An 18,824-nucleotide genomic window follows, 5' to 3' on the forward strand; every position below is an offset into this window, starting at 1 on the left:
TTAAACCCCAAAACAAAGATGACACTGCCTCTTCCGGAGCTGGATCTGTGCTTAACTGAATCAGCATGACATTGACCAGACTCCTCAATCCCTCTGATCCTTAGTTTCCTCATCTACAGAATGCTGGGGCAAAGGTGGAATAAAAGGGATTTCAGGTACCCGTGCATGCTATGCCATGCCTGGCATGTGACAGCTGCTTAAATAAAGGGTAGTGGTGATTGTTGTTGCTATTATCATTGGTTGCAAAAGAGTTATTATTATCTTTCCTGGTTGAGGACATGCATTTTAGGCTTAAATTCACTAGACTAGCCCTTTAATAAATGGACCAGGGCCTTTCGCTGGAGTCTCTTCCTTGGGAGCCTCAGTTTCCCCCTTTCTTCCCCAGCAATGCTCTTCTTGGAAGCCCAGACCCCTGCTTGATGTTTGAGAGGGAGGCACCTCTGGACACATGCTAGTTCCCTAGAGATGGATCCATTATGGAAATAGCCAATGGTAATTAAAACCACTTCTCTTGATGAGGGTGGGGTTTTGCGGGGGAAGCCTGTGTTTGGTAAAACACAAGGCGGGTAATTCCAAGGTAGCAAAACTAGTTTTCCTGAGCAGCTGCAGTTTACACATTCTAAGTTCCAGCCCCAGGTGGGGGTCTGTGTTTGGGACCCATATGCGCACACAGCTGGGGAGCTCTGGGAAGGCGGTGGGAGTTTCAAGGTCGCGAGGCTCCTGGGAGCCCTGGAAATGATGATTTGGGTTATCAGCGAGCAGAGAATATAGGGGTCAGGATAAAAAGGTGGGAGGAAGGCCCAGTCCCCAGAGGTGGGGAGTGTTTCTGAGCGCAGCCTAGGAGGGGTTTGGCTATCTAATGGCTTCCTGCTTGTGGGAGCGTGAAAGGAGAATTAAAGGGATGCTGTCATGGTGATAGGAAAACCTTCTGTGCCACTTGGGCTGGGTTCAGGGCCAGGTACAGGCAGTTGGGTGGGAGGAAGGAAGAGTAGGCCATACACCTAGGATCCCGGGGATAAGGGATCAGGGTCTTATGTCAAATACCTTGGCACCATGTGCCACCTGCAGCTCTGTTTGCAACAGGATAGGATATCCCTCAGCAAGGAGGAGCCTGCTGCCTTACCGGAGTCCCAAACCTTCTCCCTTGGGGAAGAGTGTGCGGGATTTGGATCCCTGGGCATGGGAGGACTGGAGTCCCTCCACCTTCCTGCTTGGTGGTTTCGTTACTCTGCAATCACACCCTGATGACATCCTTGCCCTGATTCTCCACTCAGGTGTGCAACTTGGCTGGGTCATGGAAGGATCGGGGGCAGCCTATACCCTGTGCTGTCCCTCCCTCCACCCAGCTGGGAGCTGTGGCCTGGTTGGCTGCCCCTTGCCGGCCTCAGGAAGACTTTTAGGGCACTGAGTGTTTGGCAGTGCCCTGGGTAGGGCCGGGGCTGGATCCCAGGCCCTGCAGACTGACCTTCTTTGTAGCCCTTGGCAGCCTAGTTCTGACCACAAGGCCCTCCCTCATCTCTTGGTCTTCACAGGGTGCATACCCCCGGGCTCAGCTTCTGGTTCTCATCTTTTTCCTGCCCAAGCTAATTCCCTTGGCGGTCTCACCAGTGCTGTCGCTTTAAACACCATCTGCAAGCTGATGATTGCCGGATTTCTCTTTCCCCTCTGCTCCAGACTCAAATTCCCCAGTCCCTTCTTGTCATCTACACTTGGACATTGAATTGGCACCTAAGTTCAACATGCTCCCAAGAAAGCTCCTGAACTCCCCTCCAGACCTGTCCCTCCTGCAGTTTTCTCCAGCTCGGTTGATGGCACCTCCGCCCTCTGGTGGCTCAGCCCCACATCCTGGAATCACCCTTGACTCTAGTCTTTCTCTTTCCACATCAAATCCATCAGAAAATCCTGTTGGTTCCACCTTCAAAATGCATCCAGGACCTGAACCTCTTCCTGGAACCTCTTCCTGGATGACCACAGTCATCTGCTGCCTGGGGTGCTGCAAGAGCCCCCTCCGTGCTCCCCTGTGTCTGCCCTTGCAGAGGAAGCTTCCCTCTGGGCTTCAGGGGCTGAAAGAGGGCCAGGTGAGGGGCCTTGACCAGAGGACAGGGGCACTAGATTGGACAAGCCATGTGCTTATCCAACCACTGCCACTACCTGCCTCTGGTTAACTAGAGCCTTGGGCACATGAGGGCCTGTCACCCAGGACCCCCTCTGGGCCTCCTATGGCCACAGGTTTTGACACATTGACACTGGAGAGCAGAGAGTGCCTGGGAGTCATGGACAGTCCCTCTCCTGGGAGGTGTTGAGTGCCCAGGGCCCTCCCTCGGGCCCTATCTGTGCCAGGGATAGCACAGCACCCACTATTCCTGCCTACCGGGGCTTGAGTTGTAACCCCCTCAGGACCACTCCAGGGGCCTCTGCTTTGAGCTGTGGCAAGCTGTGCCCCTCCCTTACAATCCCCATCTGAACTCAAGCTTTGTCAGGGGTTCAGCGAACTCCTGGTGAGGGGCACCCTCAGCCCTGCCCTGTCTGCCGGTCTGGTGCACTGAAGAGCCAGGCCTCACCTGGACAGCTCCTCCAGTTTGGACTTGGCGTAGTCCAGGCTGTTGCGCTCAACGTGCTCATGAGGCGTGTGGGCCAGGAGCTCATGGAGGGTCAGGATGTACCTGGGGATCTGCGGGCAGGTGGGAGAGGTGAGGGTGGAGAAAGAGCCAGGGAAGTATGGCCGGGGAGCAAGGCAGGGGCAGACAGGGAGTGAGCAAGAGAGAGAGAGAAAGAGGGAGAGGGAGAGGGAGAGGAAGGGAGGGAGGGAGGGAGAGAGGGAGGGAGAGAGAGGTGGCGAGGGCGGGGGAAAGGGGGAGAGAGAGAGAGAGAGCGCGTGAGCATGGGGTGCGGGCCAGGGGAGAGAGAGCACGAGGGGGTGGTGGGAGAGAGAAAATGGTTCTTTTAGCCCAGAGGACTTCCATGAGCAGAACTGAGGAAGGAGATAGGCTGCCCTTTGGTCACAGACTCTAACTTGGAGGCTCTTCCAGGGTCTTGTCTAGGGCTCTGCTCTGGCTGAGGGTGGGGTGGGGTGCTCAGGAGCCAGGAGAGAAAGGTGGCGTGGACAGGCCCACAGTCAGCTTGCCCTGCACCCAGCATTGTCGGCTGCTGGCCCTGACCACCTCCCCCGCCCCCTTTGGCAGCCCAGAGCTGGGGTGCGTTAAGCACTGTGCCCCCACCGCCATGGTCCATCCCCCACACCTGCCTCCCTGACTCTACCCCACCCAGGCAGGGCCGGACGCCACCTGGAACATGGGGTAGGTGAGGAAGGTCTCCAGCGTCCTCTCCTCGCAGTCAGGCTTGGCCTCGTAGTGCTTCAGCAGCTTGTCGAAGTCACGGTTCTGCTTGCAGTGGGCCAGGATCTGCAGGCTGTACTGGTGGTTGCGGACGAACTCTTGGTAGATGTTGAGCATGGGCAGCAGGATGTCAAATAGGTCAGCTGGAAGGACGAGGCAGTCAGCGGGTGGCTAGGGCAGCTTGGTGGGGACAGAATCCCCTAGGCCCTTGGCTCCCCCAGCTACACCCAGAGAGGCCAGGGGCCAGGTTCAAGTTCCCCACCCCAGAGACATCTCTGCTCTTGGGGATGACTCCAGTACCACTGCCCTATCCAGTGCTAGTAGGTGGGCCCCCATCATTGGGACCACATTAGAATCACAGACTCTTAGAGACGTGGGGCCCTGTCTAGTCGACACTTGTGATGGGAGTGTCAGAGAGAGGAGGTAGAGTGGGCGCTGTGGGGTGCCACCTGGATCCCCCCAGCTGCCAGGAGTGCTGGTGGCCGATGGCTGTCAGCTGGGTCCCTCTCCAGGCATTGCCCTCAGCTGGAGGAAGCTGCCTTGCCTGGTCTGTCCTCCTGCTTCAATTCAGGACACCAGTGTGAGGTCACCCCTTCTCCAGAGCTTCCTGTGGGGTCGGCTGAGGCTTCTGTTGCAGCTGGAAGGCTGCCCAGTTCCTCCCTCTGCCTGTCCCCGTGCCCTATGGTGCTATGGCCTAGGACACTCCCCAAGAGGCCACCCTCCCTCCTGCAGTCTCCGTCCTGAGACAGAAGTGGCCTATCTGAGGTCACAGGGCAAGTCAGCAGCCGGCCTGGGGCTGGGTCTCCTGACCTCCTGATTCCAGGGATTTCCTACCATATGACACATGAGTCTCTGCTCCTTCGTTCATCTGCCATTGTCCAAGCAGGGCTTCCAGGCTCTGCATTATCTAGTTCACCAGGTGGGGCCCTTTCTGCCTATAGTTCTGTCTCAAGCTTCCTGGGTATATACTTTGCCTTTCCAGTGCCCCCAAGTCCCAACCAATCTCCCCAAATCTGCCCTTCAACGATTTGATAGGCTGGGATGGGGTCATGTGAAACATCTTCCTTATCTTTATTTATTTATTTATTTGATGGAATCTTGCTCTGTTGCCCAGGCTGGAGTGCAGTGGTGCGGTCTCGGCTCACTGTAACCTCTGCCTCCCGTGTTCAAGTGATTCTCCCACCTCAGCCTCCCAAGTAGCTGGGACTACAGGTGTGCATCACCACACCCAGCTAATTTTTGAATTTTTGTGTTTTTTGTAGAGATAGAGTTTTACCACGTTGGCCAGGATGGTCTTGAACTCCTGCCCTCAAGTGATCTGCCTACCCTGGCCTCCCAAAGTGGTGGGATTAAAGGCGTGAGCCACTGTGCCTGGCCTTGAAACATCTTCTTCTTCTTTTTTCTTTTCTTTTTTTTTTTTTTTTTTTTTGAGATAGAGTCTCGTTCTGTTGCCCAGGCTGGAGTGGAGTGCAGTAGTGAGATCTCGGCTCACTGCGACTTCTGCTTCCTGGGTTCAAGCAATTCTCCTGCCTCAGCCTCCCGAGTAGCTGGAACTACAGGTGTGCACCACTACACCTGGCTAATTTTTGTAATTTTAGTAGAGACGGGGTTTCACCATGTTGGCCAGGCTGGTCTCGAACTCTTGACCTCAGGTGATCTGCCTGCCTCAGCCTCCCACAGTGCTGGGATTAAAGGCATGAGTCACCGTGCTCGGCCAAAACATCTTCTTATAAGTCCCATTTAAGAAAGGAAACATGGTTTCCTTGTAATCAACTTTAGAGGGTAGCTCATGTGATGGGTGTCTGACCACCTGACGGACAATGTCTTCAACAATGCAACTGCAGAATATGCGGACCCCATCTTTCTAAGGACACCTTATTTTGACCTTAGAGAAAAACACGGGTCTTTGACTTGAGAAAAATAATAGTGCCTACTTCCCCCTGGGAAGCCTCCATGCCTGAGGGCAAGGGAGCTCTGGAGAGCCAGGCCTGGGTCTGCTCTGTGCCCTCCACCTATGCAGCCTTTGCTATTCCTTTACTTCCCTAAGCCATTTTCTTTGCCTCCATCATGGAGATGACACCAACACTCACCTTTATCTACCAAATTAAGAAAGTGAAAAAAAAAAAGAAAGACATTTGGTGTAGGTTGAGGGTGAGATGCAGGAGGTTCTTCTGTCTGTTGCTTGTGGAACTAGAGCAGTGCAGCCATCTTGGAGAACAATGGGACAATATGTATGAAGCAAGAGCTTTTCACATGTTTGGATTCTTTGTTTTAGCAATTCTGCTCATTGGAAACCCATCCCAAGGAAATGATCTCTAATATGGAGAAAATTTCTTATGAAGAGATGATTACTTCTAACAATAAAAAATTGGAACAACTCTAAGAGCCAACCATAGCAGATGGTTAGATAAATGACAGTGCCTTCATGGGTACTGGAGTATTACACAGCGATCAAAAAGCATGCTTTTGGCATGAGAAAATGCTTATGGGATAATGCTAAGTAAAAGAAAAAAAAAACAACACACAGCAAGATACAAATTCTATATTCAGTATGTTTGCAATTATGTAAAGTGGAAAAAAACCCAAGATCTATGCACAGAAAAAAATTGGAAGAAAACACACCAAAGTGTTTGTAGTGGTTATCTTTGGGAAGCAGAACTATGCTTGATATTTTTAAACATTTTCTACTTTTATGGGTTCTCAATTTTTCTTAAATGGATGTGTATACATTCTTTATAAAAGGGGAAAGTGGATAGGAAACTAAAAATATATCATTTCCTCTTAGAAATACAGCATTTGCCAACTTGTCTTTTCTCTTCTGCCCCCTCTGAGGGATTCTGTGGGTTTTAAAAAGTGACACTCTATTATGCTCTAGAAGGACAAAACTGCCCCAGGCTTTTGGGGTGGCCCCTGGAGGGGGACTTCTCTGGGGGCCGCAGTGAGGGCTGACTACTCACCCAGGACCAGCGTGGGCCAGCTGGAGATGCGGGCCTTCAGGCCTTGGTAAAAGATCTGATGTAAAAACATGATGGTTTCGCTGAAAGAGAAAGCACAGGGTCAGCTCTGCCCCAGGGACTTCCTGCTGCTCCAGAGGTGACTGTCCCCAAACCTCCTGCGTGACTTCAGCAGCGAACCCTTTTCTCATGTGAGACCTTAACGTGAAAACTGCACCGGCAGGATGGATCATATAATCTGGGGGTGCCTGGTGGTGCTAAATGAGAATGCAGGCCCCTGGTTAAAGAATCACTAAGCATTCCCAGATGGTGACAGCACAGCATTAAATCAAGCCCAGGCTCGTCTATGCATGGGGTGGCACATCCACGGGCCGGCAGAGGGCAGGGAGCTGCTCTGGCCAGTGGCCTCTGTCTCCTCAAGTCCCGGCCTGCTGGGCCCCACACCCCCTCCCCCAAGGTATCTTGGAGGAAACCAGGGCTCTGGCAAACACGAGTAAAAGCCATGGATCAACGGAAGAGCTAGAGTTTGGGATTAGCACAGAGGGGGGCTGAAATCTGCCTGATGCCCCTTCCCGGCTGTGAGACCATGAATAAGTTATCTAAGGTCTCCCAGCCTCGAGTCCTTCTGTGTAAAATATGAAGGTGAAATGAGGAATCCCCTGGAAGCAATGGGACAATTCGAGTGCCCAGTGCACAGGAGACGCTCAGAAAACGCTAGTTTCCCAACACCCAGTGACCGCCCCCGCTGTTTGGAATCAAAGTCAGAGAAGCCAAAAGACCCAGAGTCCCGCTGCTTGCAAAGCCCCTGTTTTGTCGCCACGTAACGTGCTGAACTCGTATTCTCATTGGCAGCTTAGCGCGGGCTGGGTACAGGCAGCCACATTTGCCCGGCCTTCCCCCCAACCCGTTTTCCATCCACTGCTCCCCAAGCAGCTGGTCCCAGAACACAGTCCGGGCGTCTCCTCTCCCAGGACAAGCTGTGAGGACTGAGAGAACACCAGAGCGAGGCGGCTTCTGCTGCTTCCTGAAGGCACTCCTATTCCTTCCTGCCCAACCATTTTCCCTCTGCTCCTTAGCTCCTACCGCCTTGGAGACGTGGGGGTTTTCCCCAGATGCCCCCTAGGCTCTTTGTGGTACACTCCATTTATGGATAGGAAAACTGAGGCCCAGAGAGAGAAAGTGAGTACCTCAGGAGTCAGGGACAGCCCTGAGCCTTTGGGCCGGACCCTCTCTGTCCCTGGAATGTTCTCCTGTCTTTCTTTGGCGGCATTCTCCACTGTGTGCTCTGGGCTCCCTCCCGCCTCTGTTTCTCCACTGCTTTGTTTGGCTGTTTGAGGCACCTGGTGTTTCCCACCTTGGGGTGCTGGCCCTTCTCCCAGCAGTTTGTGCTCTGAGGCAGCCCTCCTCCATCTCACTGTCTTAGCACAATGAGAGCCAAGGGTGGAAGACATTTGGTGAGCACAGAGATGCTCCAGCATTGAGGCGGTGGGGGGCAGGGCACAGGGGCCAGTTGATGGAGGGGGCTCAGAGGTTAGAGGCTCAGGACCCCAGAGGGATGTGAAATGTCCTGCTCATGCCTGCTTTGCAGAGAAACAGGTAGGGTGGGGAGACAGAGGATGTGAGAGAGATAGCAAGAGAGAGAAAGGGGTGAGGGAGATAAGAGAGGAAGGGAGGAAGAAAGGGAGGGAGAGAGAACAGAACAGAACACAACACCTCCAGGCTAAAGGGCGAAACTAGCAACTGCATTCCAGAGAATATACAGAAAGAAAGGAAAACTGAGAAAGACCGAAACCAATGCGAACTTAAAAATCCAAGCAGAGAAGACTTTGAGCTCTCACTTCTGAGTGTGGATCCCACCAGTATTGTGAATTGTCTATCATCTCCCTAAAGTTCCAAGAGAGACAGTCCCTCCAGGTATAGCAACTTCTTATGACCCTTGGTAAGGCTGGTTTCTGTCTGGCTCTGACCCCCAAACGAGTTTGTTGAATGGATAAATGTTCCAATTTTAAGAATTTTGGGAGTCCACATGTGAAGACCCTTCAAAATGTCCAGTAGCAAGAGACCAACCCAGGGGTGCATGAGAGTGCAGAGAAGGAAGAATGTCTGACTTGAGGTGGGAGGCAAGGAGGTCAGGTCAGGGGACTCTCAGGGGTTCTTGAGGGAGCCATATTTGGCAGCCATCCCCAATCTTTTTGGCACCAGGGACTGGTTTTGTCAAAGACAATCTTCTCACAGACGGATGGTGGGGTGGGGGAGGTGCGGTGGGGAGATGGTTTCAGGACGATTCAAGTGTATTACATTTATTGTGCACTTTATTTCTATTATTATTATTATTATTATTATATTTTTGAGGTGGAGTCTTGCTCTGTTGCCTAGGCTGCAATGCCATGGCGCGATCTCGGCTCACTGCAATCTCCTCCTTCCGGTTTCAAGCGATTCTCCTGACTCAGCCTCCTGAGTGGCTGGGATTACAGGTGCGCCCCAGCATGCCAGGCTAATTTTTGTATTTTTAGTAGAGATGGGGTTTCACCATGTTGGCCAGGCTGGTTTCAAACTCCTGACCTCAGGTAATCCACCTGCCTCGGCCTCTCAAAGTGCTGGGATTACAGGCGTGAGCCACCATGCCTGGCCTATTTCTTTTATTATTACATTGTAATATATAATGAAATAATTATGCAAGTCACCATAATTTAGAATCAATGGGAGCCCTCAGCTTGTTTTCCTGCAACTAGATGGTCCCATCTGGGGGTAATGGGAGACAGTGACAGATCATCAGGCATTAGATTGTCATAAGGAGCACGCAACTTAGATCCCTCACATGTGCAGTTCATGATAGGGTTTGTGCTCCTTTGAGAATCTAATGCTGCTACTCATCTGACAGGAGGTGGAGCTCAGGTGGTAATGTGAGCAATGGGGAGTGGCTATAAATACAGATGAATCTTTGCTTGCTCATCCACTGCTCACCTCCTGCTGTGGGGTCCAGATTCTAACAGGTCACAGACCAGTGTTAGTCTGTGGCCCAGGGATTGGGGACCCCTGATATATAGGATCTTGACATATGTCTAGATCCTTTTAGATAACCCTGAGTACTGCCATGGCAAGAGTTAGGCTAGCCATTCCCAGACAGCTTCAGCACAGCAGACAACTGTTCAGGATGGACCAGGGAGGAAATGAACCTTCTTATATCCCAATACTGCACATGCCTGTGTAGCAGCATATCAGGAACATCATAAGCTAGAATTATAAAAATTTAGTTGATGAAGCCTCCATTTCTAAGGTTAAATTTAAAGAATTTCACTTGTAATCCTACTACTCAGAAATTACTATCATTGCCCAGCCAACTAAAAAAATTATCTCATATTGACTTGATTTGCTTAAAAAAATCAAATTATTAATGGGTTGGTTGAACATTTTTCTTATATATTGGCCATTTGTATTTCTTTTTAAAAAATTGCCTAGTCATGTTCATTGCTATTTTCTCTCTTATTAATCTTCTCTCTTATTAATTTTAAATAACTATATTAAGTGTATAGTCTGACATCTATGTTGTAGACATCTTTGCTCAGCTATTTGCCTGTTGATTTTGTGTCTGGTGTTATTCTGAAGTTTTTCCATTTTTCCTTGTAAGGCAGACCATTTTCTTTCTGCTTGGCTTGGGGAATCATATCTTTCCCCACTCCCAAACTGCTTACATACTCACATATATATTATTTTATTGTTTCATTTTTACATGTAAATACTTAACTATTGTTTGCTTTGGTGTACGATATGAATAAGGGAGATAGACATAGCCTTTCCCTCAGTTTGGTTAGCCAGTTGTCAATTCTGGCTAACCAATTAGCCAGATTAACCAATTAATCAAATATACCAGCTTTTTACTAGGCTGGTTTTTCATAGTTACCAAATTCTTGCCAGGTGAGGTGGCTCACGCCTGTAATGTCAGCACTTTGGGAGGCTGAGGCAGGAGGATCGCTTGAGTCTGGGCACTATAGGGAGACCCCGTCTCTACAAAAAATAAAAAAAATTAGCCAGGAATGGTGGTGCACACTGGTGGTCCCAGCTACTAAGGAGGTTGAGAGGGTGGCTTGAGCCCAGGAGGCAGAGGCTGGCAGTGAGCCAAGATCACATCACTGCACTCCAGCCTGGGCAACAGAGTGAGACCCTGTCTCAAAAAAAAAAAAAAAAAAAAAAAAAAGAAAAATTCTAATATATGCTTAAGTCTCTTTCTGGACTTTCTATTTTATTTTGTTGATCTTGGATTAGTCTTAGGTTGTTTTTGTTATTTTACAATATATTTATAAGCCTTTATAATATATTTTAATTACAGGTGGGGAATTCTTTCATTGTTGTTTTTTAAGAACATTATCTGTTTGTATGCATTCATTCTTCCAATTGAATGTTAAAATCATTTTGCTAGGCTGCACTTTGATTGGTATTACATTAAATTTACAGAATATTTTGGGTGAAATGACATCTTTACGACACACATCTTTTCATCCAGGTGCATCTCTCTACTTTACTGTGTCTTTGTTTATGCGTCATCACATAGGTCCTGTGTTTCTTCCTAGACAGTTTATGTTCTTGTTGCTATTTCTCATAGTATATTTTCTAAGTGGTTGCTGTAGATATAGGGAAAAACTACTGATTTTTCTTTTTTTTTGAGACAGGGTCTTGCTCTGTCCCCCAGACTGGAGTATGGTGGTGTGATCTCGGCTCACTGTAGCCTCGGCCTCCTGGGCTCAAGTGATCTTCCCACCTTAGCCTCCTGAGAAGCTGGGACTACAGGTGTGTACCACCATGACATTCTAATTTTAAGTTTTCTGTAGAGATGGGATCTCCCTATGTTGCCCGGGCTGGCCTTGAATTCCTGGCTAAAGCAATCCTTCTGCCTCGAAAGTGCAGGGATTAGAGGCATGAGTCACTGTGCCCAGCCTGATTTTGCTTATATTTTAACAACATGAACTCCTAATAGTTTTTAGGACTTTTTTTTTATTGACCCTGACCTCGGGTCTACCCCACAGAGCTGCTTCTCCTCCTTCTCTTCTCATTAAATAGCAGCCCTTCCCACCAGCCTCTCAGACGGAACCTGGGAATCACCTATCACCCCCTCCCCCCTTCATCCCTATATCTACTCCATCAAAGTTGCTGATTCTGCTGTCTTCTGTCTGTTGCATCTGCCACCCCTGTCACCTCTGCCTAGACTGTTGTCAGTGGGCCCCTAACTGGTCTTTTGCTTCCACTCTTGCCCCTGGTCCACCCATTCTCTACATAGTGGATTCATCTCTTAAAAATTGAATCTAATCAGGGGGAGTGGCCTTAACTTGGCCTTCAACACCCTGTAGGAACTGCCTCTGTCTGTCTCATGGGCTACTCCCTCTTCCCTATGCCCTCTTACCATTCTGGCCTTCTGTTCCCTGGATTTGCTTTCTTCTGCCTTAGGGCCTTTGCACAGGCCATTCCCTTTGCTCTCACCACCCCCTTTGTTCACATAGCTCTTCTACTTATCAGAGCGAGAGCGAGAGCTAGAGAGAGAGAGAGAGTCTGTACACACACAAATGTGCTATTTTTAAAATCAAGTTTTGGTAAAAAAAAATTGGGAAGTTTTCCACTTTTATCATATGTTCTATAACAGTTTAAATAAAAATGATTGATTCTTTTAAAATGCCAAGTTCATTGCAACTCTTTAAGGGGAATATACCATGCACCTTTCTCAAATCTACATGACCCCTTGAAGATGGAATACCTGATAACATCTTGCAGAGCTAGTGTTCCATTCACTCATTCAACACATAGTGATTGAGTACCTACTAGGTTTCAGGCACTTGCTCAGACAGTGGTCTCCCTGTGTCTAACTCCAGCAATGATAAAAACAGAAATAGTCCCCATCAAGGCTGCTGGATGCACAATTCTAGTAGGCACCATTCACAGTCTAGTGTATGCCAGGGGTTGGCAAAGTACAGCTCATGGGCCAAATCTAGCATAGCTGCTGTTTTTGCGTGGCCTGAGAGCTTAGAATAATTTTTACATTTTTAAATGGTTGAAAACAAAAGAAAAGTTTTATTGTAATATAGCCACACTCATTTGTTTTTGGATTATCTGTGACTGCTTGGTTGTAACAGAAATGGTATGTCCCACAAAGTCTAAATCATTTGCTATCTGGCTCTTTACAGAATAAAGTCCACCCACCCCTGTGCAATGCGAATGGTGCTCCCAGAATTGTGCAGTGCACAGCTGGTGCAGCTGTAATCTATGGCCTTGTCCCCATTCATATTGAACAGTTAATATAGTGAGAGACCTAGACACAAAAAGAAATCTTTATTTAAGTGTGATGCATGCAACAAAGAGAAGCATAGGGGCTCTGGGACAGCACGACAAGGGGACATAAGCCAATGGCAGCAAGGGATGTGGGGGTGGTCAGGGACATGGCATCCAAGGAAAGACATGAACAAAGAGTAGGACTGCTGTTGGAAGGAGAGTAGGGTAGGAAGAATGTTCCAGCCAGAGAAGTGGCCTGACTGCAGGACATGTTCATTTTGCCTGGTTCCCTCCCTGAGCCCAGAAAGGGGCATGACATACCCAAGGCCAGTCCAAGGCAGATAGGACTGGGCAGGAGCAGGACAGAACCAGGCCCCCTCACTCTTGCCCCCACACCCTGCCTGTTGCATTGCACCAGTCACTCATCATGGGTTCCAGGGCCTGCCCCTCGTCACCCTCCAGCCCATGCAGACAGGATGAATTGATTGTGGCATGCTCCCCTGCTGAACCTCATCATTCCCTCAGCTCAGGGCTCCAGGCAGCCACTGCCAATCAGTCAGCGCAGGAAGCAAGATACAAACCATCTGCCACTGGGACAGGATGCCTCTTGTCATGGGCAACACCTGTGGTTCCCTGCACATGGTGCTGGGCATGGTTTTTATTAAAGGGAAATAGCCCGTCTCTAAGCTTATTGTCTTGGCTGAACAAAGCCTGCTGCAAATGTTTCGTTCAAAGATCTTTTCCCCCCTATTTGAGAAGTACACAATTAACACCCTCCCCAGCTCTGCAACATCCTCAATGAATCTGCCAAGCTGGAGAGAGGCTTCTCTCTTCCCAAGGACCTTTTAAAATGAGCTTCAGTAAATTAAATCATCAAATTAGCACCAGGTTTCTAATGTGGCTGTATATTTCAGCCTAAAAGCAAATCTAGGGGACAGCTACATATGAAAAAGCTTTCCAGCAAGTGAGCTAGCAGCTCCACCGTGGCTTATGACACACAGACCTCTGTGCTGTGGTCTGAGGCAGGGAGAGCAGTGAGGTTCACATCCTGGATCAGCCCCCACAGCGTGGACAGCAAGTGAAAAGGTGGGGCTCACACACAAGGGGGAGTTCTCCAACAGAGGGTGCATGCCCAGACCTGTGCTGTAATGACCCACACTCATTAGCAGTGGGGGCAAGGAAAATGGGTTGCTGGAGAGAATTCCAACCCATTATTTAACAAGGCAGCAGGGGGAAGCTGGGGCCTTACCATGAAACAGATCTAGGTTACAATCCCAGCCTGCCCCCACTCTCTGTGTGCTATTGAGCATTTCCTGCCACCTCTCTGATCCTGGCTCCAGCCTCATGGGTGCCTCTGAGGATCAGAAAGCATGCAGGCCAAGTGCTGGCAGAGAGCCCAGCACAATGCAGGTCCCACAAAGCCCTGCTGTAGTGTGGGAAGTATAGTCCAGAAGCTTCAATCCTGCAAAGTGCTGAGTGGGGGCTGTTTTAAGGTCACAAAAAATAGTTCCTTATGTTTGCAAAAAAGCATAGAGCTTAAGAGAGTGAAGCTTGTGCTGTCCCTAAGTGATCAGGTATAAAGCGAGGATGATCTGGAGGCAGTCATGTTCCAGCTCTTCCTTCCCATCCTGACCCCTGGGGAAGGAAAGATTTCTGGCTTGCACCTGTTTGAGAACAGGGACCAGGGTAGAGGAGAGGAACCAGCCTCGTCAGACTTGCAACCATTGATATAACCACCAGGTCTTCTCACTTAATCTAGGAAGACAATAGAGTAAATTACATTGACTGATTTTCAATGTTGAACCAGCCTTGCATTCCTGGGATGGATCCTGCTTGATCAGGATGTATTACTCTTTTTATATATTGCTAGATTCACTTTGCTATTTTGTATATATGCACATGAGGGATATTGGGCTGTAGTTTTCTTGTGATGTATTTGGTTGTGATATAAGGGTAATGCTGACTTTGTAAAATGAGTCAGAAGTGTTCCTTCCATGTTATATTTGATTTTGATTTCTTGCAGGGTGCATTATTATGGAGCACCTGGGCTACGCTGGGCTCTGTGCTAAACACTTTACACCAAGTCTCTTCTTTGATCCTTCAGTGCCTGTAAGAGGCAGGTACCATTCCTGGGGAAGCCTTTTCTGATGACCTCTAGAGTCCATATTCTAGAGGTCTTGAGAATTCACCAGGCTGCTGCTATTTTTTCCTGGGATCAATAAGATTGCTAAAGTAGGCAACAGTTGGCCTTGGACCCATTGTAAAGAAGGTGAAATGGGCAGCATCCTTGGGATGAAGAAGTGGCTACCTGGGGAGATGGGGATGGGTAAGGGAGCTTCTCAGGCTGAAGCCTGTGGAGGATGCCACTCATCTTTGTTCTAGGCAGGCATGCACACTGCCCAGGAGGCCCTGAAAGCATCACAGTCATAGTGTCACTATTCAGAGCTGGAGGATCTTAAAGGGCATCTAATTCAACTTCTAAACCTCTTTGATGTTTCTGACAAAGGGTTACTCTTCTGAATTCTTAGTGTGATAGGGAGCTCATTACTCTTCCGAACTTTTGCCTCTGGGTCCACCAGCCTTCAGTTATCCAGCCCCCTACAAGGCACCAGGGAAGTGCACTCAGATGCACATTTGCCTCTGCTGGCAGGATGCAAACATGTGCTGGGCAGTCATGCCTGCTCAGGCCCTGGAATCCCTCCATGCTCACTTAGCCTGTCTACCAGCCTCCCATACTCCACTCTCCCCAAGGAGTGCCCCTCCACATGGCAGAGGGGCTGAGTTTCCTGCGACAGACCTGACCATGACATTCTCTGCCTGAAATGTGTGATGGCTCCTTCTTGCCTCCAGAATCAAGTCCCACTCTCATCTTTGGGCCTTTGCACATGCTGTTCTCTCTATCTGGAAAGTTCTTTCCTCCTCCTCCTCCTCCTGTAAACTCTCTCATGTCCTTAAAGACTAAGCTCAGACACCACCTCCTCCAGGGAGCCTCTTTGGTGGTTCTCACCACATTTCATGGTAAACATCTGCTGGATCATTTGACCTGATGGTGGGGTTTGCATGGCTCACTCTGTATATGTGAACCCAGCACGCAGGGAGGCACTCTGTGTTGCTTGTCTGTTGAATGAGTGAGTGGATGAGTGTCCTTGCCTTTGGTGGGGCTGCTGGCTACCAACCCATTCCTTCCATCCCTAATCATTGCTGGGGCCCAACCCTATGGACTGCCTTGTATTGACAACAGAAAGGGAAAAACAGATTTAGGTAAATCTTTCCAGTTGCCCTGCTGAAGGATTCCTGGGTCTATCTTGAGGTCTATCGTGTTTCTTTTTGAGGTCATTGTTGAAAATATCAGCTTCATGAGAAGGCAAAATCCCCCTTTCCTCTTTCTCATTTGTTCTCCATTAAAGGTATCTGACCTGATCCATTCAGTTCTTTGAAGATAAAAATATAAAACCATGTTGTGATTTTTTTTTCTGAACAACTTTTGAACAAATGCTGTGAGCTGGCATGAATATTCTCTACCAAAGATTCCAGGTCAAAAGAATTCTATTTCAGATGAATCAATGAAGTATAATAAAATTACGAAAAGGTAACAAACACAAAAGGACACCTCTTAGTGATGATGATAAATGGTCACCAAAAGTTTGCAATGGTGGCCTAAAATGCAAAAAAAGCACAAACAACATAGAACTACACTACTGCCTCCTGAAGTAAACCTCAAATAAGGAGTCATGGTGGAGATAAACACAGACAGCCACCTCTGTTTATCTCAAGCCTCCCATTTTGGTGCCATCTGGGACCAGTAGCATCAGCAGCACCTGCAAGCTTGTTGGAAATGCAGTCCCCTGGGCTCCACCCAGACCTACAGATGGGCTTGTGTTTGAGAATATGTGAAGTCAGCTGAGCTATCCAGGGTTTGCTCAGCAAGGAACACGTTCTTCACATTTTTCATTCAAATTCCAGGTCACTGAATCTAAACAACCCACTTTCTGGGTTAAATGTTACCTGATTTCACACACACCTAATTCTCTTTTTTGTTGTTGTTTTAGTCAATGCATAAAAGCATTTATTGAATGTCTAAGAACTGTGATCAACATGTCTATTAAAAAGCAGCCTTGTGGGGCCCTGTGATTTGGTCTCGAAAGGTCTCATGAGGCCAAAAGCTATTTTCCTCCTCCTGCCTGCTTCTCTCTCTTTCCTTCTCTCTCTGTCCCCCATATTCTGATGGCTTGCCCACATCTATGGTGTCAACCTGTCCCACCCCAGTGACTTTCAGTTTCTTCAGCCCAATCTCTCACCTGAGCCTCAGACTCATGTCTGACTCACAACCTCATACATCCCCACGCTGGGGTGTTCCACAGTCCCCTCAAACTCAGCACATCACACTGTTAGGGAAAGGGGGAAGAGAAGGACACAGGGAAGGTGGCCCTGGGTCCCAAATATTCATGCAGAGGGCTTGGAGAAAAGGCTGGTTGAGATTAGTGAAAGGACTGAATGCTGAATATTTGAAAAGAAATGTAGTTGAATGATAGGGGAACATAATGATTTACTTGAATTCTTAGATGACATTCCATTGTAAATAGCATGCTGTTTTGTTGCTTTTATCTAGTTTATACAATTTTATCACCAACCAGAAAGCTCATTTAAACCATTTCCTTTTAAAAAGAAGTTGACAGCAGAAGAGCAGCCGTCAGCACAGCCTTCTGAAGAACCACAAGCCCCATATTAATGCCAGGGTCACCATCTGGGAGAAGTGACTTCTTTGTAAGACATGTGGGTAGCGTGGTCCACAGCAGAACTCTAAGGCACCTGAGAATTCTAAGTTTCAACCTGGCCTCCAGGTCATTATGATGGTATCAAGGTCAAAGAATAAGGTACTTTAGTTTACGTTTTGTAGCTTGATTTATAACTCTTAAACATTTAAACCAGGGTTCCTTAACCGTGGCACTACTGACATTGTAGTTGGAATAATTCTTTGTTGATGGGGAACTGTCCTGCATATTGTAGGATATTTAGCAGCACCTCTGGCCTCTACCCATTAGATGCCAACAGCAACCTCCCTCAAGTGGTGACAATCAACAATGTTTCCAAACATTCCTAAGTGTTCCCCACGGAGCAAAACTGCCCCAGTTGAGGCCCACTGGTTTGGACCTATACTTTGTGAGCCTACATTTGTGCCCCTGCCCCAGACCCCACAATTATTGGGGTTGGTGGTTTCTAGCCACGTGATCTTGGGCACTTCTGTCCTCTCTGGGCCTCATCTGCACTCGGTGGGAACCACGTGAGAGAGTGTGTCAAAGCTTAGCTGCGGCCAATGCTCACTAGTCTCCTTCCTGCCTTGGCCAACCTTTAGGGGTGCTCACCTGTTCAGGAAGATGCTGCTGACGTCGTCGTGTGTGATGGGAGGCTTCTTGGAGCTGGCGGCCATCCGCAGCGGGCGCAGGAAATTGTTGACAAGGATGTGCAGCTGCTGCACGTACTCAGCCTCAGCCTCCAGCATGCTGAACACCACCTGGTTCCTCTTGCGCATGCTGTCAGCATGGGGTGACCGGATGTAGTCCTGGATGATGGTCTTCCACTTCCGCCGGCACAGCCAGCCCCGCAGGAAGCTCTGCACCTGAGCAGCAAGACCGGTGGGGAGAGGCTCCTGTCAGGGAGTCTGGACCACTCCTGTCCTTCCAGGCTGTGAGCTCCCCAAGGGTAGGAACCAAGGCTTTGTTATTCCTACGCCGGGCATGTAGCAAAAAGAGCTCAGATGTAGACCAGGCATAGCTCTGTTGCCCACATGATACAGGGCAAGTTGTTTGGTTGCCCTGAGTCAGTTTTCCCATCTGTAAAATGGGGCTAAAGAGATGATGGCTAGACTGAAAGTGTGGTCCACAAATTGGATCGGCATCTCTGAAGAGCTTATTGGAAATGCAGATTCTCAAGCCCCACCCCAGACCTCTGCAGTTTAACAAGACCCCTGGGTTGCTTTGGAAGCATTCGCTGGAGGAGGAAAAATGTGGCTCTATGTCTCCATAATGGGAGGTCGCCCGAGGATAAAGGGTTGCAGGGCCTTGCTGGGCACAGCTCATGCCTTGTCTTGTCTAATGACTTGCCTGAGAGCCCAGAAGTTTAAATTAAAGCTCTTTTGGATAGAAGGGTGATTATCAAATTGAACGGAACATGGAAAATTAGTTAATCTCATACTTAGCCCTCATCAGCGGCTTCTGAGTCCTAGTGCCTGCCTGGAGCCTCTCCTCCTGACTCAGTAGGGAAATGAACAGAGACACTTAAC

At 48.8% G+C, this 18,824-nt stretch overlaps 1 protein-coding gene across 7 annotated transcripts in view, besides 3 other annotated features; it reads right to left on the bottom strand.

The window, feature by feature from the left end:
- Window positions 1-18,824, bottom strand: part of RASGRF1 (Ras protein specific guanine nucleotide releasing factor 1) — a 130,875-nt gene that overhangs the window by 68,933 nt on the left and 43,118 nt on the right. For all 7 annotated transcript variants that reach the window (NM_001145648.3, XM_017022456.3, XM_017022455.3 and 4 more), the window contains exons 5-8: window positions 17,908-18,161; window positions 6,293-6,372; window positions 3,285-3,478; window positions 2,562-2,671 (exon numbers count right to left, since the gene is read on the bottom strand). In NM_001145648.3, coding sequence (NP_001139120.1) covers window positions 2,562-2,671; window positions 3,285-3,478; window positions 6,293-6,372; window positions 17,908-18,161 — 638 coding nt within the window. The remainder of the gene's footprint in view (window positions 1-2,561; window positions 2,672-3,284; window positions 3,479-6,292; window positions 6,373-17,907; window positions 18,162-18,824) is intronic.
- Window positions 6,100-6,600: an enhancer, noted in NCBI's record as "H3K4me1 hESC enhancer chr15:79327280-79327780 (GRCh37/hg19 assembly coordinates)". NCBI's record gives its function as "activates a minimal SCP1, AML or CMV promoter by ChIP-STARR-seq in naive H9 embryonic stem cells {active_cell/tissue: H9 hESC(naive)}" and the evidence as "EXISTENCE:reporter gene assay evidence [ECO:0000049][PMID:30033119]".
- Window positions 6,345-6,434: an enhancer, noted in NCBI's record as "active region_9931". NCBI's record gives its function as "activates an Ori minimal core promoter by ATAC-STARR-seq in GM12878 lymphoblastoid cells {active_cell/tissue: GM12878}" and the evidence as "EXISTENCE:reporter gene assay evidence [ECO:0000049][PMID:35858748]".
- Window positions 17,995-18,494: an enhancer, noted in NCBI's record as "H3K4me1 hESC enhancer chr15:79339175-79339674 (GRCh37/hg19 assembly coordinates)". NCBI's record gives its function as "activates a minimal SCP1, AML or CMV promoter by ChIP-STARR-seq in naive H9 embryonic stem cells {active_cell/tissue: H9 hESC(naive)}" and the evidence as "EXISTENCE:reporter gene assay evidence [ECO:0000049][PMID:30033119]".

This window comes from Homo sapiens, chromosome 15, assembly GCF_000001405.40.
Source record: "Homo sapiens chromosome 15, GRCh38.p14 Primary Assembly".
Classification (NCBI taxonomy): Eukaryota; Metazoa; Chordata; class Mammalia; order Primates; family Hominidae; genus Homo; species Homo sapiens.